The sequence below is a fragment of the Homo sapiens genome, chromosome 12 (assembly GCF_000001405.40).
Source record: "Homo sapiens chromosome 12, GRCh38.p14 Primary Assembly".
Taxonomy (NCBI): Eukaryota; Metazoa; Chordata; class Mammalia; order Primates; family Hominidae; genus Homo; species Homo sapiens.
Genome location: NC_000012.12, coordinates 55,405,291 through 55,428,770, shown reverse-complemented (window position 1 = coordinate 55,428,770; position 23,480 = coordinate 55,405,291). Strand labels below are relative to the sequence as shown.

General features: G+C 38.5%; 1 protein-coding gene and 1 pseudogene across 1 annotated transcript; one reads left to right on the top strand and one right to left on the bottom strand.

Moving 5' to 3' along the window:
- Positions 1–1,578: 1,578 nt before the first annotated feature.
- On the bottom strand, positions 1,579–2,517 carry OR6C76 (olfactory receptor family 6 subfamily C member 76). Its single transcript, NM_001005183.1, has one exon. It carries the CDS (start codon positions 2,515–2,517, stop codon positions 1,579–1,581), a length of 939 nt encoding a protein of 312 aa, NP_001005183.1.
- An 11,110-nt stretch (positions 2,518–13,627) lies between these two features.
- Positions 13,628–19,058, top strand: PHC1P1 (polyhomeotic homolog 1 pseudogene 1; annotated as a pseudogene).

Sequence of the window (23,480 nt, the reverse complement as noted above, 5' to 3'; positions counted from 1 at the left end):
AGAATAAATGGGAGAGTGCAAAGTGTATTTATAATTTGTCAAAAGAGTATCTGTAGTAAGGAAGAAGAAAATAAACAGTAAAGATATGACATATAAAAACAGGAAGAGACAGAGGTCTCACAAAAGTGAGATTGAGCAAGATTGTGTCATGGCACATATGAATCCTTTTTTCTGACTCCTGAGCTAAACAGAATAATTCAGAACTTTCAAGTCTTCCTAAGATTATCAATCCAATAAATCTTTTTTTTTTGGCTTAAACGTGTTTTATTTTGATATTTATTTGGCAACTAATACAATCACACATAATACAGTGGGCAAATTTTATCAAAACTAGTCTGAAACAACTGATAAAAGACAGAAAACAATACCATAAGCTACTATATTGCATGGTTATTGAGTCATAAATCACAATCTTGGATAAAAGTCCTCAGAGAGCATTATTCCCAAGCCAGATGTTGCTAGTTCTCTGTAGAAATGTTTTATAGAGATGTGGCTAAATGCTATCACCCTTTTCTTAAGTAATAACTATAATTAGAAAATTTCTACACTCAGGAAATTATTCTTAATGACACAGTTTGTTATATTAATTGATTTTGTTATTTAAGCATTCACAATAAATTGATCTAAAAACAAAAGAAAAACTAATAAAGGTTATTCTAATTCATAATTTGCTGTCATAATGACAAATGTAACTTAATTTTTTTCTATTTTATATAAGATATAAGTTAAGCATAAATTAAATATTATCACTATAAAAATTAATTCCCCTATTTAAATTATTAAATTCTTAGAGTTTGTTCATATACCAGTTATTACTATATCCCAGAGTTTCCTTTAAGTTTCATTTTAAAGAAAAAAAATGGAAAGAGTGAATATATATATTCACTCTTCATATAGTCACATATATGAATATACACACATATATTATGTGTATTATAAATATATATTTTTTATATATTATATATAAATATATTTATAATATATAAAGATTATACATAAATATAATAGCTTTAGAATATATGTATATATGTGTGCATATTCATATATGTGAATGTATGAACATACAATGTGTACATGTGTGTATATTCATATATGCAAATATATGAATATATGAATATACACATGTATACATACACAAACATTGACACACACAGAAACACACATATATTTGACTACATACATGTGCATGTGTATTCATATATTCACCTATGTGAGTTAACATAGATGATACATTATCATATTCTGTTGAAATAAGTTTGGCAGTGATAAATATAATTACAATTATATTATTTTAAGTATATAGATTAATATAGGAAATGACTTTAGTTCCTTCTTTGAATTGTACCAAGGAATGTGCATCAGATCATTTAATAATGACTTTTCTCTATAAATTCATATAAGGACTTGTAAGAACATTAAATACATTAGTATTTAATTTAACATTAAATAAAATAGTAGAAACAGTTGTGTTCCTGAGAAGACATACAAATAAGAAGACAGAAAGGAACTAAAGCTGAAATCTTTATTGGTTCTTCGGTAAAAAATGTGTGTGTGTTTCATTTATAAATTGCATTCAAATCAGTGTTTTTTTTTTTTGTGGGAAATCTTTCTCAGAACATCCTTAAATGCTTGTTTCACCTGCTGGTTTCTTAGAGTGTAAATAAATGGATTCAGCATAGGAGCGACAGAGGTATTGAGTATAGCTACTCCTTTTGTCAAAGCAACTCCTTCCTTTGCTGATGTTTTCACATACATGAAGATGCAGCTTCCATAAGAGATAGAGACAACAATCACATGTGAGGAGCAGGTTGAAAAGGCTTTTTTTCTTTGCTGTGCTGAGGGGATTCTCAGAATAGTTCTGATGATGTAAGTATAGGAGAGAATTACTAATATCAAAGTGGATATAAGAGTAAACAGAGCTAAAATAAAGCTCATGAGCTCTAGAGTACTTGTGTCTGTGCAAGAGATTTGCAGCAAAGGAGCAGAGTCACAGGTAAAGTGGTCAATGACATTGGAGTCACAGAAATCCAGCTGTAAGCCCATGGCCAGTGGTGGAAAAATTACCAAGAAACCAGCCAGCCAAGAGCTGATTATAAGCTGATAACAGATCCTGTCACTCATGATGGTTGTATAATGCAGAGGCTTACATATAGCCACATAGCAATCATAGGACATAGAGGCCAGGAGGAAAAACTCCGTTGAGCCAAGGAAGATAAAGAAAAATAGCTGAGCTGCACAAGCATTATAAGATATGGATTTGTCCCCTGTTAGAATGCTGATCAGAAATCTAGGATTACAGACAGAAGTAAATGAAATTTCCAAGGAGAAATTCCTGAGGAAGAAATACATGGGGGTCTTCAGGTGGGAATCCAGCAGGGTAAGGGAGATGATAGTTAGATTTCCAGTAACACTCAGTACATACGTAAGAAATAGGAACGAGAAAATCACAACCTGCAGTTGCGGATTATCCGTCAGACCCAGAAGGATGAAATCTGTCACTGATGTTCTATTTTTCATTTCTGATGATTGATTCCTGTCAGAGATTACTGATAAAATCAACATCAAAAGGAACAAAACAATGAGTCCAAAGACAAGTATAAATATTTGCACATTTTTTTTTCAAATACTATTGAATTGTGACAAGAAGCACTTGGGACTTTTAAAATAGTGTATATATATACATTTATATTTCTTATTTTCCATAATTCTGCTTTTAAAGATATATCTTCTATATTTAATATCAGTCACTGCTACATGTTTACTCTGTCTCCATAGTTTACATTTATTTTGGGGAAATGTATTAATAGAACATAAACTTTTCTAATGCTTTACTATTTAGCTAAAATGTAGGGGGCATTATGCTTTGCTTACTGTATCTTTTATAGGAATAAAAATTTGGACTGATGATGTAAATCAGTGATCAACCCAATTTTTTGGTGAAAATTATAAATATCTTTTTTAGGATGTAGACACTACTACCTCTGTTAATTTATCTTTTACCCCTTTCTTTGTAAAACAAAATAATAATTCAGTGGGTAAGTCATTCTAATGTGTTTTGAACATTTAAACAATGGCTTTATATAGATAGTATCCACTTTTTTTTCAATCCACCACACATTCTATTTTCAGGTAATACAGGTGCCTCTGAAACTCCTATCTTTATTCTTGATTTTTTTTAAAGAGCCTTTTCATTAAAATCCAATTAATGTAGTATTTTTCAGTTGAGTGTTTTAAAATTTCTAGTAAAATGTTTTAAATGTAGTCAGGCACCCAAAACATGTTCAGAAAATATTTTAATGAAGTACACAACTACTTCATATATCTAAATCAGATATAAAATGCACAAATACTTCACATATGTTGTCTAGTAACTATCTTGGACACCCACATCTGTAATATGCACCAGCTCTTTCTAAGTGTAAATGTATAAATATTAAGAAAAATATGCTGTGTTCTACCTATTTAATTGCTAGAAATTACCATTTAAAAGATTTTTAAATCTCCATTAATTTCTGAACTATTAAATATGCATATACATAAGAGACAGAGAGGGAAATAAATATGATATGAGATTAATCAGTGCTACAGAATAGAATGGATAGAAGCTAAATCACAAAAAATAAATTTAAAATACTTACCTATTATGAAAATTTGGATGGTTAGAGTTAAATATTGAACAGAAAATAATGTGCTCAATTCTCTTAAATCAAAAGTCATGTAGTGAGTCAATTCTACATGAAGAAATAACTGTTTTTTCTCCCCTCCTACAAAGTTACAGATTTCATCATAAAGATCTTGATGTTTCATCTTAACACATCCAGTGAAATAGTCTCCTCATGTTTCCACCCAACACTGTCCAAAATCTGGAAGCCTGAAATATTCCACCAACCATCTTAACAATAAATCCTTAGTTAAAAGTTTTGCTGACATAAATGAAAAAAATTCTAGAATTATTTACGATAGGCTATTCTGATACTTCACAGAGGGCCATTTCTATTAATTTTCCCTAGGAAAAAAGTAAATAATACCTTTAATATATTTTCCTTTACATAATTTCAGAAATATGCTTTAAGGAAACAAATGCTTAATGACATTTGGGATAAACAATAATAGGGCATTAGTGAATCCATGTACAAGTTTGACTCCAGCAATCATATTTTAATTGGTTGATTTTGGGACCTGTGTCCCAGGAGAAGACTGAGAAAATTATCCAGCAGGATGTTAGCCAGGTATCTGGGGAGGAGTGAGGTCTAGCAAGAATAAACCAACAACCTGCAATGTCCATTGTCATGTATCATCCTTAAGACTATGGGAAAAAGCAATTTAAAATATGACAAGCAAAATAAGCCACGGGTCTATGAAAGAAAAAGTATCTGGTATTATAATCTTTGAAACAATGTTGAAATCACTGAAGACTATTATACACTATCACTGGTGAAACTTATATAGGGAGTGTAACTCCCTTCATCAATTGAGCTGACTAGTATTTATCTAAAATTAGAAGCAACTCAAATTTCATCTGTACATTTCTGTATTATTTTCCACATATATAAAACAACAAATACTTTTAATACTTTATGCAAAATATATTTTTACATAAGAGCACAATAAATTGAGATCATTCTCAATGCAGTGATTAAATACAGTGCTAAAAATATGATTAAAATGGTATCTTCTTCTTTTTTTGAAAAAATAATTACATGTTTTTTATGAGAGGAGGTCTCACTATGTTGCCCAAGCTGAAGTGCAGTAGCTATTCATAGGCAGGATTGCAGCCTTGAACTCTTGGCCTCAAATGAACTTCCTGCATCAAGCTCCTGAGTAGCTGGAGCTGCAGGTGTGTACCATTGTTCCTGGCTTAAAAAATAGTATCTTCTTGTTGAATATGTTATATAAGTGGAAACCAGGATATTTAAATTACATTTGCATAAACAGTAATAGTACTTCAGTAATAAAAACTCAGTCATTGATTTATTATAGACTTTATCACAACTGTAGAGACAAATATAATTTAATAAAAAGATCACAACATGAATCTTTTTATTTGAAAAAGATGCCTTCATGTGATGTTAACATATATTCAAATGTTTATGTGCAGAGATAACCACTGTTACCAATTTGATGTATACTACTCCACATACATTTTAATTGTGGACACCTGCTCTATCAGTCCATTTTCATACTGCTATGAAGAAATACCTGAGACTGGGTAATTTATAAAGAAAAAGAGGTTGAACAGACTCACAGTTCCACATGGCTGGGGAGGCCTCACAATCATGGCAGAAGGCGAAGGAGGAGCAAAGGCATATCTTACATGGTGGCAGGCAAGAGATTGTGTGCAGGGGAACTGCCATTTATAAAATCATCAGATCTGATGAGATTCATTCACTATCATGAGAACAGCATGGGAAAAAACTGCCCCCATGATTCAGTTACCTCCGACCAGGTCCCTCCCATGACCCATGGGGATTATGGGAACTACAATTCAAGATGAGATTTGGGTGGGGACACAGCCAAACGATATCACCTGTCTTTGACACTTAGTAATATATTTTTAAGCATTGATACCCAAATAGAAAATCTTCCATTTGTCTCTAAGCAATAGTTAACCATTTAATATTAGCTTAGACAATTACAACATCCATTTTAATGACTAAATATGGTTTCATTGTATGGATATGCCATAATGAATAAAATTATTCTTTGCTGAACGTACCAATCTTTGAAAATATTCCTTATTATAAATAATATTAGAATGCATAGACACACAAATGCATCTTGGCATTATTGTTCTATTATCCCTTGATTGTAAGTTTTCTCAAATGAGTTACTGAGCCACAACTTTGCACAATTAAAATGTTCATAAATATCTCTGTGTTTTCCTAGAGAACTGTTTGTTTGCCTTACCTGTTTCTATAAAAATGATTATTTTAATATAAATTCAGCTTATAAAAGATTAATACCTTTAATCCTTCCTAGTGTAATAGAGAATAAAACAGGGATTATGTGCCTGCTTCTGGGATATTGATTCTATTTTGATAATGTCTTACTGATTTCAGAATATTTATTGTGGTTGTTTATCCTTCAATTTGATACCTGGTAGTATAATTATTTCTCTTTTTCCCTATTATTTATTGATACCTTGGTAAATTTTCCATTTTTTATAAATTGTTAAATATGTTTCTAAGAAGGAAGTATGATGGTTTTTATTTGCATTATGCAAATAAACACATATAAAAAAGATGGGCTGGGCGCAGCAGCTGTAATCTCAGTACTTTGGGAGGCCGAGGCAGGTGGATTACCTGAGGTCAGGAGTTCAGGACCAGCCTGGCCAACATGGTGAAACCCTGTCTCTACTGAAAAATACAAAAATTAGCCGGGCATGGTGGCGGACGCCTGTAGTCCCAGCTGCTTGGGAGGCTGAGACAGGAGAATTGCTTGAACCCGGGAGGTGGAGGTTGCAGTGAGCCGAGATCATGCCATTGCACTCCCGCCTGGGTGACAAGAGTGAAACTCCATCTCAAAAAAGAAAAAAAAAAGCTGTCCATTTTAAATATTTGATCAAAATATATTGTTTTTAATTTTACAGTAGAGCATAATATCTTCTAGAAGATTTAGAATAAATGTCCTGTTTCTTGATTCTAGAGAAATTTTACACATAAGTATAAAACATTAAGGCACTATTTTTTGAGAAATTCAACACTGATTTAAAAGCATGAAATACTTGCATAATTTTCATATTATTAAGAAAATATTGAATGATTTCAGTTTGTTAGACATGGTCAAGTTTAAGACATTTCTTGACTGGGAAGCCTGTACTCAAAAGAAGGCCATTATGTTAGGAAATAAAATAGAGAGAATTTATAAGGAAAAGTACACAAAGTATAAGGGAAAGAAAGAAATTGGTATAGAGGTAAATCTACTACACAGTAGTAATTGGTATAGAGGTAAATCTACTAGACAGTAAAGAGGTAGATCTACCTCTACACGGTAAAGTAGACGTAAGTTTGCTGTGAATTTCACTGGAATTACTGTTTTTATTTGGTGGTGGCCTTGCTGTAGTGCAAACTTTTAAAAAGATCTATAGTTTACTGTGATATGCATTTTTGCCTTTGTACCAGAGTAAACTGTGATTATAATCCTTTCTTTCTACTTTGTTTATAATAAGTACATCTGTTTAATGCTCAGTGATAAAAATTTGGAATACAAAAGTCAAGTCCTTAATATCCCATTTGGTATCCTTTTGTAGTCCACATCAAGAACACGACAAATTCCTCATCCACATAAGTGATAATGTGTAAGTAAATGCAGAACTCAGCCAAGCTTCACATGTTACACTCAAATTCCAAGAGTTATTGGTTATTTCCTTATCTAAATAAGTAATAATTTACTTGAAATAATGGGTAAAAACTCATTATGTCACCTCATAGTATTAAATATATATATTTTTTATCATCCTCAATTGTCAATCCCTTAATAAGAACCTAAAATAGCTCATGTTCATGAATGTCGTGGGATCTAAGTCTTTACTTAGTATGAGTTAATGTGTTCAATATAAATATGTGTGTCTGCACCTATTAGAAAAAAAGAGACATTAGAGAAAATACAGTTGTATTAGTCAGGCTTCTCTAGAGAAACAGAACCAATAGGATGGATGGATGAGTAGATAGGTAGATAGATGACAGATAGATAGATAAATAGATAGATTTATTTATTTATTATAAGAAATTTGTTCACACAATTGTGGATGCTAAAAAGTTCTAAGAGCTGCAGTTGACAAGCTGGAGACCCAGGAGAGCTAATGGTATACTTCCATTGAGTTCACGCAGAAGCAGGGCTGCTGGGCTGGAAGCTCTAGTACATGTTGCCAACCTGCCCACGAGTAGTAGTGGCAGATGGGGTCACATGCTCTGCCATCTGACTGTTTCCCAGGACAACAGGAAGATGTGCTCTGTGGCCACTGGGCCAGAAACTAGCAGGCACTGCCCACCTTGTTACTGGTGGCAGGATTACCTGGTTACCACTCAGCCATCTGGCTGTTTCCCCAGGCAATAGGAAGCTATGCCCTCCAACTGAGTTCACACAGAAGAGGAGCCACTGGCCCAGAAACTCTTGCTAACATTGTCTGCCTAGCTACCATTGTCTGCCTAGCTACCAGTGGCAGGGGCAGGTGAAGTCATGTGCTATGGTGTTTGGGTGTTTCCCAGGACAACAGGAGGTTGTGCCCTCCAGTTGAGTTTACACAAACATGGGATTGCTGGGCTGGAAGCTCTAGCAAGTATTGCTTGCCTGGCTACCAGTGGTGGGGGTAGGTGGAATGGCTAGCCCAGTTCAGGCCAAAGCAAGACCACTGGGCTGGAAGCTGGCACCAAGCCCCATCTGACAGTGAAAGTCTGGCAATCTTACTGCTCCCAAGTACCACAAGTGTGGCTTCTATTGGGCCTATGGTGGGGAGCTAGAGCTACCAGCCCAGCAGTCCTACTTCTGCCTGAATTTGCAGAAGGGGGTAGCCTACTGTTACTGTGCAAACACTCAAGTGGCAGGGTGGGCAACTCCACCCTCCTCTGCCTCTTCTAGCCAGATAGACCACACCCACTAGAACTTCCAACCCAGTGGTCCCATTTCCCCCAAACTCTGCAGGCAGGCCCAACACCATGTTTCCCCGGGAAATACATAGACAGCAGATTAGGGCCACACTGGCAAGGACATGGCTTGTATTTTCATATGGGTAGGCCTTATGTTCCCACCCAAATATCATCTTAAATTATAATCCCTAGTTCCCATAACCCCCACATGTCAAGGGAGAAAACAGGTGGAGGTAATTGGATCATTAGGGTGGTTTCCCCCATGATGTTCTCATGATAGCCGGTGAGTTTTCATGAGATCTGATGGTTTTATAAGGCAGTTTTCCCTGCTCTTGTTTGCAACTCTCTCATTTTCCACCATGTAAGACATGCTTCTCTCTCACCTTCCACTATGATTGTAAGCGTCCTGAGGCTTCTCCAGCCATGTGGAAATGTGACTTAATTAAACCTCTTTCCTTTATAAATTACCCAGTCTCAGGTATGTCTTTATAGCAGTGTGAGAATGGACTAATATATATGCCAACTGCAGGTGCTGCCTAAGTGATTCCTGTTGACTAGAACACCCAACAAAACCAATGTGAGCACAGAGACAGTAATCAGAGGGGGCTTTTCCACAACCCAGGAGCAGACTAGAATCAAAGCCAGTCAACCGAGTTCACCTTATACCATAATCAAACTCCCAAGGGCATCAAAGGTGAAAAAAGCAAAGCAAACCATCCAAAGGATACTAACTTCAAAGATTAAAGAAACATCAGCCCACACAAATGAGAAAGAACTGGCACAAAAACTGTGGCAACTCAAAAAGCCAGAGTATCATCTTACCTCCAAACAACCATAATAATATTTCCAGTAATGATTCTTAACCAGGATGAAATGGCTGAAATGGCAGAAATAAAATGCAGACTATGGAAAGGAATGAAGATCATTAAAATACAGGAGATACTTGAGACCCAATCCAAGATATCTAAGGATTACAAGAAAACAATACAAGAGGTGATAGCCAAATGGACATTATAAGAAAGAATCAAACTTATCTGATAGAGCTGAAAAACATACTAGAAGAATTTCGTAGTGCAATTGCAAGTATTAACAGGAAAATTGAACAAACTGAGTAAAGAATATCAGAGCTTGAAGACTGGCTCTCCAAAATGACTAAGTCAGAGAGAAATAAAGGAAAAACAATAAAAAGGAATAAACAAAACCTATGAGAAATATGGGATTATGTAAAGAGACCAAATCTATGACTCATTGGCATCCATGAAAGAGAGGGAGAGAAACCTAGCAACTTGGAAAACATATTTCAGAATATTATCCATGAAAATTTCCCCAAACTCACTACAGAGGCCAACATTCAAATTCAGGAAATGCAGAGAACCTCTGTGAAATACTACACAAGAAGATAACCCCAAGACACATAGCTATTAGATTCTTCAAGGTCAAAATGAGAGAAAAATGTTAAAGGCAGCTAGGAAGAGGCAGGTAATATACAAAGGGAATTATATCAGGCTAACAGCAGAACTGTCAGCAGAAACTCTACAAGCCAGAAGAGATTAGAGGCCTATATTCAGAACCCTTAAATAAAAGAATTTACAAACAAGAATTTCATGTCCAGCCAAACTAATGTTAATAAGTGAAAGAAATAAGGCCCTTTCAGACAAGCAAATGCAGAGGGAATTCATCAACATCAGACCTGCCTTGGAAGAAGTCCTGAAGGGAGTGCTAACTATGGAAAAGACCATTACTGGCAACTACAAAAGAAAGACCATTACTGGCATCACACTTAAGTACCTAGACCAGTGACACTATAATGCAGCCACACAAACAATTCTGCATGATAACCAGCTAACAACATGATGATGGGATCAAATCTGCATGTATCAATACTAACCTTGAATGTAAATGGGCTAAATGCCTCAATGAAAACCCAATGGTTTACTATCTTCAAGATACCCATCTCAGATGCAATGACACCCATAGACTCGAAATAAAGGGATGAAGAAAAATCTAACAAGCAAAAGGAAAATATAAAAAGGCAAAGGTTGCTATTCTAATTTCAGACAAAACAGACTTTAAATCAAGATAAAAAAGTAAAAGAAGGGCATTACACAATAGTAAGGGCTCAATTCAACAAGATGACCTAACTATCATGAATATATATATATATATACCCAACACAGGAGCACCCAGATTCATAAAGCAAGTTGTTAGAGACTCACGAAGAGACTTAGATAACCAGCCAATAATGGTGGGAGACTTTTAACACCCCACTGATAGTATTAAACTCAGCATTTGACCAAATGGACATCTACATCTATCCCAAAAGAGCAGAATATACATTCTTCTCACCTGCACATGGCACATACTCCAAAAATGACCACACATCAGGTCTAAAACAATCCTCAATAAATTAAAAAAAAATCTTACAAAACATGCTTTCAGACCACAGTGCAGTAAAATAGAAATAAATACTAAGAAAACCACTCAAAACCATAAAATTACATGGAAATTAAACAAACTGCTTCTAAGTGACTTCTGGGTAAATAATGAAATTAAGGCAGAAATAAAGAAATTCTCGGAAAATAATGACAAAAAAGACACAACATACCAGAATCTCTGGGACACAGTCAACGCAGTGTTAATAGGGAAGTTTATAGCACTAAATGACCATATCAAAAAGTTAGAAAGATTTCAAATTAACAACCTAAGCATCACAAATAGAGAAACTAGAGAAAGAACAAACCAACCCTAATCCCAAGGCTAGCAGAAAAAAAATAACTAAAATCATTGCTAAACTGAAGGAAATTGAGACATGAAAATCCATACAAAAGATCAATGACTCCAGGAGCTGGTGTTTTGAACAAATTAATAAGATAGACCACTAGCTACACTAATGTAAAAGAGAGAGAAGATCCAAAGAAACACAATCAGAAATGACAAAAGGGACACTACTGCTGACCCTACAGAAATACAAAAACCCATCAGAGACTATTATGAACATCTCTATGTGCACAAGCTTGAAAAACTAGAAGAACTGGATAAATTCCTGGACACATACAACCTCCAAAGAATGAACCAGGAAGAAATTGAATCCCTGAAGAGAACAACACTGCGCTCTGAAATTGAATCAGTAATAAAAAGACTACCAACCAGAAAAAGCCCAGGAACAGAGAGATTCACAGCTGAATTTTACCAAATGTGTAATAAACAGCTGTTAGTATTCCTGCTGAAACTATTCCAAATAATTGAGTAGGAAGGAGTCCTCTCTAACTTATTCTATGAGGCCAGCATCATCCTGATACCAAAACCTACCAGAGATAACAACAAAAAAAGAAAACTTAAGGTCAATATCCTTGATTAACATAGATGGATAAACACAAAACAAAATACTAGTAAACCAAATCCAGCAGCATATTGAAAAGCTAATCCACCACGATCAAGTAGGCTTTATTCCTGGGATGCAAAATTGGTTCGACATACACAAATCAATTAATGTGATTCACCACATGAGCAGAACTAAAAGCAAAAACCACATGATCATCTCAGTAGATGCAGAAAAGGCTTTTGATAGAAATCATCTTCTCTATAATTTACAATCCCGCAACAAACTAAGCAACGAACACACATACTTCAAAATAACAACAGCCGTCTGTGAAAAACCAACAGCCAATATTATGCTAAATGGGCAAAAGCTGGAAGCATTCCCTTGAAAATATGAACAAGACAAGGATGCCTTCTTTCACCACTTCTATTCCACGTAGTACCGGAAAACCTAGCCAGAGCAATCAGGCAAGAGAAAGAAATAAAAGACATCCAAATAGGAAGAGAGGAAGTCGAACTATCTCTGTTTGTAAATGATATGATTCCGTACATAGGAAATGCCATAATCACTTCCCAAAAGTTCCTTCAGCTGATAAACAATCTGAGCAAAGTTTCAGGATACAAATGCAGTATACAAAAATCAGTAACATTTCTATAAACCAATAATATTCAAGCAGAAAGCACAATTAAAAACACAATCCCATTCAAAATAGCCACAAAAAGAATAAAGTACCTAGGAATATAGCCCACCAAGGAGGTGAAAGACCTCTACAATGAGAATTACAAACCACTGCTCAAAGAAATCAGAGATGACACAAATAAATGGAAAACCATTCCATATTAATGGATAGAAGGAATCAATATTTTTAAATGACCATACTTCTGAAAGCAATTTATAGATTCAATGCTGTTACTATCAAACTACCAATGACATTCTCCATAGAATTACAACAAACCTATTTTAAAATTCACATGGAACTAAAAAAGAGTCTGAATAGCCCAGGCAATCCTAAGCAAAAAGAATAAAGCTGGAGGTATCACATTACCTGGCTTCAAACTATACTCCAAGGATACAGTAACCAAAATAGCATGGTACTGGTACAAAAACAGATACGTAGACCAATGAAGCAAAATAGACAGCCCAGAAATGAGGCTGCATACCTGCAACCATCTGACATTCAACATAATTGACAAAAATATGCAATGGGGAAAGAACTCAGTATTTAATAAATGGTGCTGGGATAACTGGCTAGCCATATGTGGAAGATTGAAACTAGCTCCCTTCCTTACACCATATACAAAAATCAACTCAAGATAGATTAAAGACATAAATATAATACCTAAAACTATAAAAGCCCTGGAAAATCTAGGAAATATCATTCTGGATACAGGACTTAGCAAAGATTTCATGACAAAGTTGCCAAAAGAAATTGCAACAAAAGTAAAAATTGACAAATGGGACCTAATTAAACCAAAGAGCTTCTGCATAGCAAGAGAAACTATCAGTAGAGTTAACAGACAGCCTATAGAGTGGGAGAAAATTCTCACAAACTAAGCAGCTGACAAAGGTCTAATATCCAGCATCTGTAAGGAACTTAAACAAACTTACTACAAAAAAACAAACAACCCCATTAAAAAGTGGGCAAAGGACATGAACAGATACTTTTCAAAAGAAGACATACATGTGGCCAACAAGCATATGAAAAAATGCTCAGCCCGGCCCGCAGCCCCTGGCCTGCGGCCCCCACCTTCTCGGCCGGGCAGGAAGTGACAGGCCCGGAGCGAGCCCCGGAGGCCTGGCTGAGCCGCGGCCGGGCCCGCACCCGGAGCGGCGGGAGGGGCGGGGAGCCGCGGTCGCGCCGGGCGCCTCCCACCCCGCCCTCGGCGCCCCCGCCCCTCCAGGAAGGGGAGGAGGCGAGGGGAGCCCGCCGCGGAGGCCGAGCGAGCCCCCAGCCCAGCCTGGCGACTGGGGACCCCGGCACATGAGGTGGACGCCCCCGGGGAAGACTTGGGTGCACAGCCAGGCGAGAAGGTCTTGAGTCAGACAGAGCACCAGCCTTGGGGACCCTGGACCACTATCATGGAGACTGCGAGCGAGCAGAACTCCAATTCCACCAATGGGAGTTCTAGCTCAGGGGGCAGCTCTCGGCCCCAGATAGCTCAAATGTCACTATATGAACGAGAAGCAGTGCAGGCTCTGCAAGCACTGCAGCGGCAGCCCAATGCAGCTCAGTATTTCCACCAGTTCATGCTCCAGCAGCAGCTCAGTAATGCCCAGCTGCATAGCCTGGCTGCCGTCCAGCAGGTGAGAGGTCAGCAGCCAGCTGGCCCGAGAGGGAGGGGACAGGCACTACAGGCCACAATTGCTGCCAGTCGGCAGGCCAGCTCCCCAAACACCAGCACTACACAGCAGCAGACTACCACCACCCAGGCCTCGATCAATCTGGCCACCACATCGGCCGCCCAGCTCATCAGCCGATCCCAGAGTGTGAGCTCTCCCAGTGCTACCACCTTGACCCAATCTGTGCTACTGGGGAACACCACCTCCCCACCCCTCAACCAGTCTCAGGCCCAGATGTATCTACGGCCACAGCTGGGAAACCTATTGCAGGTAAACCGAACCCTGGGTCGGAATGTGCCTCTAGCCTCCCAACTCATCCTGATGCCTAATGGGGCAGTGGCTGCAGTCCAGCAGGAGGTGCCATCTGCTCAGTCTCCTGGAGTTCATGCAGATGCAGATCAGGTTCAGAACTTGGCAGTAAGGAATCAACAGGCCTCAGCTCAAGGACCTCAGATGCAAGGCTCCACTCAGAAGGCCATTCCTCCAGGAGCCTCCCCTGTCTCTAGCCTCTCCCAGGCCTCTAGCCAGGCCCTAGCGGTGGCACAGGCTTCCTCTGGGGCCACAAACCAGTCCCTCAACCTTAGTCAAGCTGGTGGAGGCAGTGGGAATAGCATCCCAGGGTCCATGGGTCCAGGTGGAGGTGGGCAGGCACATGGTGGTTTGGGTCAGTTGCCTTCCTCAGGAATGGGTGGTGGGAGCTGTCCCAGGAAGGGTACAGGAGTGGTGCAGCCCTTGCCTGCAGCCCAAACAGTGACTGTGAGCCAGGGCAGCCAGACAGAGGCAGAAAGTGCAGCAGCCAAGAAGGCAGAAGCAGATGGGAGTGGCCAGCAGAATGTGGGCATGAACCTGACACGGACAGCCACACCTGCGCCCAGCCAGACACTTATTAGCTCAGCCACCTACACACAGATCCAGCCCCATTCACTGATTCAGCAACAGCAACAGATCCACCTCCAGCAGAAACAGGTGGTGATCCAGCAGCAGATTGCCATCCACCACCAGCAGCAGTTCCAGCACTGGCAGTCCCAGCTCCTTCACACAGCTACACACCTCCAGTTGGCGCAGCAGCAGCAGCAGCAACAACAGCAACAGCAGCAACAGCAGCAGCCGCAAGCCACCACCCTCACTGCCCCTCAGCCACCACAGGTCCCACCTACTCAGCAGGTCCCACCTTCCCAGTCCCAGCAGCAAGCCCAAACCCTGGTCGTTCAGCCCATGCTTCAGTCTTCACCCTTGTCTCTTCCACCTGATGCAGCCCCTAAGCCACCAATTCCCATCCAATCCAAACCACCTGTAGCACCTATCAAGCCGCCTCAGTTAGGGGCCGCTAAGATGTCAGCTGCCCAGCAACCACCACCCCATATCCCTGTGCAAGTTGTAGGCACTCGACAGCCAGGTACAGCCCAGGCACAGGCTTTGGGGTTGGCACAGCTGGCAGCTGCTGTACCTACTTCCCGGGGGATGCCAGGTACAGTGCAGTCTGGTCAGGCCCATTTGGCCTCCTCGCCACCTTCATCCCAGGCTCCTGGTGCACTGCAGGAGTGCCCTCCCACATTGGCCCCTGGGATGACCCTTGCTCCTGTGCAGGGGACAGCACATGTGGTAAAGGGTGGGGCTACCACCTCCTCACCTGTTGTAGCCCAGGTCCCTGCTGCCTTCTATATGCAGTCTGTGCACTTGCCGGGTAAACCCCAGACATTGGCTGTCAAACGCAAGGCTGACTCTGAGGAGGAGAGAGATGATGTCTCCACATTGGGTTCAATGCTTCCTGCCAAGGCATCTCCAGTAGCAGAAAGCCCAAAAGTCATGGACGAGAAGAGCAGTCTTGGAGAAAAAGCTGAATCAGTGGCTAATGTGAATGCTAATACTCCAAACAGTGAACTAGTAGCCTTGACCCCCGCCCCTTCAGTACCGCCTCCTACACTAGCCATGGTGTCTAGACAAATGGGTGACTCAAAACCCCCACAGGCCATCGTGAAGCCCCAGATTCTCACCCACATCATTGAAGGCTTTGTTATCCAGGAAGGAGCAGAACCTTTCCCGGTGGGTTGTTCTCAGTTACTGAAGGAGTCTGAGAAGCCACTACAGACTGGCCTTCCGACAGGGCTGACTGAGAATCAGTCAGGTGGCCCTTTGGGAGTGGACAGCCCATCTGCTGAGTTAGATAAGAAGGCGAATCTCCTGAAGTGCGAGTACTGTGGGAAGTACGCCCCCGCAGAGCAGTTTCGTGGCTCTAAGAGGTTCTGCTCCATGACTTGCGCTAAGAGGTACAATGTGAGCTGTAGCCATCAGTTCCGGCTGAAGAGGAAAAAAATGAAAGAGTTTCAAGAAGCCAACTATGCTCGCGTTCGCAGGCGTGGACCCCGCCGCAGCTCCTCTGACATTGCCCGTGCCAAGATTCAGGGCAAGTGCCACCGGGGTCAAGAAGACTCTAGCCGGGGTTCAGATAATTCCAGTTATGATGAAGCACTCTCTCCAACATCTCCTGGGCCTTTATCAGTAAGAGCTGGGCATGGAGAACGTGACCTGGGGAATCCCAATACAGCTCCACCTACACCGGAATTACATGGCATCAACCCTGTGTTCCTGTCCAGTAATCCCAGCCGTTGGAGTGTAGAGGAGGTGTACGAGTTTATTGCTTCTCTCCAAGGCTGCCAAGAGATTGCAGAGGAATTTCGCTCACAGGAGATTGATGGACAGGCCCTTTTATTACTTAAAGAAGAACATCTTATGAGTGCCATGAACATCAAGCTGGGCCCTGCCCTCAAGATCTGCGCCAAGATAAATGTCCTCAAGGAGACCTAAGGTGGCCCTCTTGCACAAACCAGCCTAAGGCAGACACTCTCCACTGTCCAGGTTATAACCTGGTACCAGCAGACTTTGCAGGGAAGAAAGAGTTGTTCCAATCATGTAACCTTCTGTAGGGGATTACTGAGACAGGGAAGAGAAGTGCAAGAATTGGTTGCTGGTGCTACATGGCGGCAGCTTTGACATTTTCTCTGGGTTCTACTTTATTTTTTAAAATCTTTACAGTTCTCACCATTTCACGTACCTTAATCCAATCTTTATAAAAGAGGCAGTCTAGAGAACTAGGACTGCTCAGCCTTATCCCGGAGTGGAGCATTTAGCCCAGGTCTTAATTCTCCAAGAGGAGGAATACATAGTATGGTAAGGCAAGGAACTGGGTGGAATGTCAGGTTGCCTGCCCAATGGGAGAGGTAGGGTTTTTCTAGCTTGTGTGACAGAAGTAGCAAAATCTGGTCCTTCCCCCTCCCAGTGTAGCTGTGGCTCAGAGTTTTTTCTTTTTGTTGTCACTTACTCCCTTGTGATTGAATTTTTTCTCCTGCATCCATGGCAGGATCCCCAGCCAGTATAGAGACTTGGTTGGCATCTTCTGCTGCAGGGACTAAAAGTATTTGACTGGGGCACATGTGGCTGTTGTCATTCTTTCTGCATCCCACTGTTCCCCTCCAATTTATGTTATTTTCTACCCTGTTTTTCAGTTCCATCTCTGCTCTGTCCTATAGCTTTATAAAACCAGAGTGTGTGGGGCTGAGGTCAGGAGTATAAGTACCTGCCTTAGGCACTATTCCTTATATAACAAAAATATTAAATATTTTTTTCCTCAGTAAAAGGATGAAAATTGGTTTCAGTTGTCTTACTCTATTCCAGTCTTTGCCCACTTTCACACAAATGACAAGGCCAATATGTTTTGTTTGTTTGTTTTTTAATCATTAAGAGTTTTTGTACAAAAAGTGGTTTTTTTTCTTCATTTTAAAACACCAGGGTGTGGGGGAGGGATGCAAACAAATAACAAAAAAGATGCTTTTGTAACATTATTTTCCCTGTTTAGAAAGAAAAAAATCACTCCAATAGTATTGAAAAGTCCAAAGATGAAATAGTTTCATTTTCTTTTCCTAAGGCTTATAAAAGGCCCCCTGCCTGTTGATTCCATCCCTCTTTTGTGTCCAGTGGAGCCATGTTACTCTTCAGTGGCCCAGGGGTTCACTATTAAAGAAAGATCAGTCCAGGTTTCTGGGCACATGGCCTAAACAGGAAGATGGAAGCATCAGAGGATTAAAAACCTTTCCCCACAGAAATGTGGGCAAGAAGACACTTCCCTGAGCCAGCAGAAGGGACAGGTGCAGCAGCATTCCACACCCAGCGCAGAGGACAGCAGAGCCCTCGATGTCCCACTTCTGCTTCCGTTCCCTTTCTAGAAGATTGAAAAAAAGGTCAAAACCACATGCCTGTGGAGAAAGTGCGACATGTTTAGAAATACTGGTAGGGAACCAGGAGTAAGAAAAGCTTTACCAGCTTTTACTACAAATGGATGAAAGACATCAGGATCCCACCACCGCAAGGTAAAGTGACTTCCCTTTTCTGGAACCCCTGTGGCACAGGAGTACCAATTTTCCTTTCCAACGAACTGGATTTCTGGATAGGCATTTTGGCTGTATGTGGACAGATAAGACCACAGTCCTTAGCCCAATCCCAGCTATACAGTCACCCCAATTTCCACAAATGATGTGATGGTACCGTATAATCCTGTAATTGGGAAATTTCACATTTTTCCTGTCCTAATCTCAGAGGTGGGAGAAGCAAGTCTAGAACATCTCCAGGCTCAGACTAAACGAGAATACTTGGACTGCAACCAAGTAATCACTGCAAAGTAGTTCCAAGCAGCAAGAAATACCAGATTCTCATGGAGGCTACTATAGGGTACAGAATAACAACATGAAAACAATCAACCCTGTATAAATAATGTTTCTTGGCATTTTTTTTTTAATTAAAGAAATCCAGTGTCTCAAAAAAAAAAAAAAAAAAAAAAAAAAAAAAAAAAAAAGAAAAAATGCTCAACATCACTGGAGAAATGCAATTCCAAACCACAGTGAGATATCATCTCACACCAGTCAGAATGTCTACTATTAAAATATTAGAAAATAACTGATGCTGGTGAGGTTATGGAGAAAAGGAAACACTCATACATGGTTGGTGGGAATGTTAATTAGTTTAAGCATTGTGGAAAGCAGTGTGGCAATTTCTAAAAGAACTTAGAATTACCATTTGACCCAGCAATCCCATTATTGGATATATACTCAAAGGAATATAAATCATTCTACCATAAAGACACATGCATGCATATGTTCACTGAAGCACTATTCATAGTAGCATAGACCTCTACAATGCTTACGTTGCAGAAAACCAAATACTATGTGATCTCACTTATAAATGGGAGCTAAATTTTGAGCACATATAGACACAAAGAAGAAAACAACAGCCACCAGGCCTACTTGAGGGTGGAAGGTGGAAGGAGAATGAGGATCAAAAAACTACTTATCAGGTACTATGCTTATTACCTGGGTAATGAAATAATCTGTACACCAAGCCCCCATAACATTCAATTTACCTGTATAATAAACATGTATGTGTACCCCTGAACCTAAAAGTTAAAAGTCCTATATTTATCTAAATGAAATAATAAAGCCAGGGGACTAAATAAATATTTGTCTTTATCTTACAAAAAAGAAGAAAAACAATACAAAATAAGATTATAAGGGGATCAGAACATGCTATCCCCAAATATGACACTTTAGCATATTGATTATTTTGAGCTAAAGGCAATTGAGAAAACAGTAGATGCAGGAAGAGCTCTTTGGCCTTCCACTTTCTACCTAAAAGCAGGGTATAAATTTCCTCTGAGAAAGATGCTCTTCCTGTAACAGGAGAGGAGAACACTCTTATCACCAGAGATGGGGAGGTAACACTGAGAGAATGTGTAAGAACAAATTTTACTAAATTGACCCATCTTTTCATTAGTTTCCCCTATACATTTCCTCATCACATTCCCACAATTTACTGCCCCCAGGCCATACTCCTTTTTCTATTTTTTGTCACAACTCCACAATTTATCTCTTTTTATTATAATGGTATATAGGCTTTTGGGTCTAGCCTTTCTTCAAGTCTTATTTTTTTTCCATGAAGACCTTTATGCACACATAAAAATTAAAATTTTAACATCAAATAAAATTTGCATACTTTTCTTATGTTAAAAAATAATTAGTCAACTTCCTTGAAGATGTTCCAAAAACTGAAGACAGACATGGACAAAGACAAGAAAACAATACATGAACAAAATAAAATACATAACCAAAGAAATTGAAATAGTAAAAGAAACCAAATCAAAATTCTGGAGCCATAAATAACAACGGAAATACAAACAACCTAGAAGGATTCAAAAGCAAATTTGTGCAAGCAGACAAATGAATCAGATAACCTAAAAATAGAACAATTGAAATTATGAAGTACGAGGAAAACAGTGAAGTCAGTGAACAGATACTAAAGAATCTGTGAGGCACAATCAAGCAGACCAACAAGAGCATTGTGTTTATCCCACATGGACAGCTGGGAAAAAAATGGGGAAGAAATACTATTAAAAAAGTAATGGACAGAAATTTCCTAAATTTAAGTCATGAACCTACAAATCCAAGAAGCTATATAAACTCTAAGTTGGATAATCTCTAAGAGACCCACATCAAGACATATTTTTAATCAAACAATTGAAAGCCAAAAATGAGAAAATCTTGAGAGCAGCAAGAGATAAATGACTCATCACATACAAGTTATCCTCAATTAGACTATCACTCCATTTCTTATTAGAATTCATGAAAGCAATAGGGAGTAGGTTGATGTACAGTCATACACCATATGATAACATTTTGATAAATGGCAGACTGCACAAATGATGACTGTCCCATAAGATTAAAATGGAGCTGAGACATTCCTATTGCCTAGTGAACATTGTAGCAATGTTGTAGCACAATGCTCTACCTTTTATATGTTTAAGTATACAAACACTTACCATTGTGTTATGACTGCCCACGGTACAGTAACATACTGTTCAGCACAGTAACATACTGTACAGGTTTGTAGCCTAGGAACAATAGGCTATATCATATAGATAGCCTAGGTATGTAGTAGGCTATATCATCTAAGTTTGTGTAAATATACTTGATAATGTTTGCACAATGACAAAATTACCTAATGTCACATTTCCCAGAATGTATCCTCATCATTAAGTCACACATGACTATATTCAAAGTGTGGAAAGGAAAAAAAGTATTGACAATTATAAATCCTATATCTGGCTCAACTGTTCTTCAAAAATTAGGGAGAAATTAAGATTTTTCCCAGATAAAAGCTAGGGAAGTTCGTTACTACTAGAACTGCCCTTTAAGAAATATTACAGTAAGTTCTTCAGGTAGAAATGAAAGGACACTGGACAGTAACAGCACTCCATATGAAGAAATAAAGGTCTCTGATAAAGGTAAATACATGGACAACTATAAAAGTTACTATTATTTTAATTTTGTTTTATAATTCCAATTTTAATTATAAAAGAATTAATATAAAATGCATAAAACTATTGTTCTATGATATTTGGCACACAGTGCACAGCAATGAAATCTGTGATATCAATTACCAAAAAGGGAAAGGGAGATTTATAGGAACAGACTCTTTTATGGTATTAAAGTTAAATGTGAATAAATTTAAATTCGGTTCTAGTAATTTTAGAGTGTTAAATATAATTCCCATGATGAACACCAAGAAAATGTCTATGTAATATACACAGACAGGAATAAAATGTGAAAATGTCATTACAAAAAATCAACTAAACATAAAAAAAGACAGTGATGGTGGAAATGAAGGGCCAACTATAGGCGATGTAAACACCAAATGGCAAAATAGCAAGAAGCAGAAGCACATCTCTTATAATAATTACTTTAAATTCAAAACAGATTAAACTCTCCAATCAAAAGAGATAATTGCAGAAAGGATTTTAAAAGATCCAACTATGTGCTGTCTTCCTGAGACTCTGTTTAGATTCAAATATATAAATATGTTGAAAGTGAATGTATGGAAAAGATATTCCATTCAAATAGTAACCAAATGGGACTGGATTACCTGTAATATTAGACGAAATACTATTTAAATGTAACAATATTATAAGAGATAAAGTGCATTATATATTAATAAAAGTTTTCATCTTGAAGAAGATAGAAAAATTACAAACATTTACTCACTTAACAATGCATTCAATATATATGAAGCAAAGATTTACAAAATTGAGAGGGGGGTCACACAGTTCAAAAGTAATAGTTGTAGAAATCAATTCTCCACTTTCAATAATGGATATAACAACTAGAGAGAAGATAAGGAAAGAGAGGACTTTAACAATAAAACAATAAGCTAGAATGAACAGAGATATACAGAATATTTGACCCAACATCAGAATATATATTCTTCTAAAGTTCACAGGATATTCTGCAGGATAGAACACATGTAAGGCCACAAAATAGTCTCGGTAGTTTTTTTTTTTTAAGAAGTATACATATATAATGTAGTTTTCCTATAATGGCATAAAATTAAAAATCAATAACAGAGTGATGACTAAAAAATTTTCTGCAGAAATATACAGAAAGTAAGCAACACATTTTTAAATGACCAAGAGGCCAAAAAAAGAACCACAGGGAAATTAGAAAATATTTTGCAAAAAATGAGTGTAAAAACTATCACTTTGGGAGGCTGAGGTGGGAAACTCACCTGAGGTCAGGAGTTTGTGACAAGCCTTGCCAAAATGGCAAAACCCTGTCTCTACTAAAAATACAAAAATTCACCAGGCATGGTAATGCATACCTGTAGTCCCAGCTACTGAGGAGGCTGAGGCAGGAGAATTGCTTGAACCCGGGAGGGAGAGGTTGCAGTGAGCCGAGATTGTGCCACTGCACTTCAGCCTGGGTGACAGAATGAGACTCCATCTCAAAAAAACAAACAATGAAAAACAACAACAAAAACCAATAACATATCAAATCTTATGAATATAGTGTAAGCAATGCTAAGATATAAATTTATAGGTGTAAACAAATTAAATAACCTAGATGAATGGACAAATTCCTAGAACGATACAACCCACCAAGACTGAATCATGAAGAAATAGAAAATCTGAACAGACCGGTAACTAGTCAGGAGATTGACTCTGTAATCAAAAACCTCCCTGCAAAGAAGAATCAGAGACCTGCTGGCTTCACCTGTGAATTCTGCTAACATTTAAAGAATAAAAACCAATCCTTCTCATACTTTTCCAAAAAAAAAGAAGAAAAAGAAGGAAAAACTCCTAATCCATTTTATGACATCAGCATTAGTAAGTTTGAAAATATTGAACTTGTGCAAAGCAT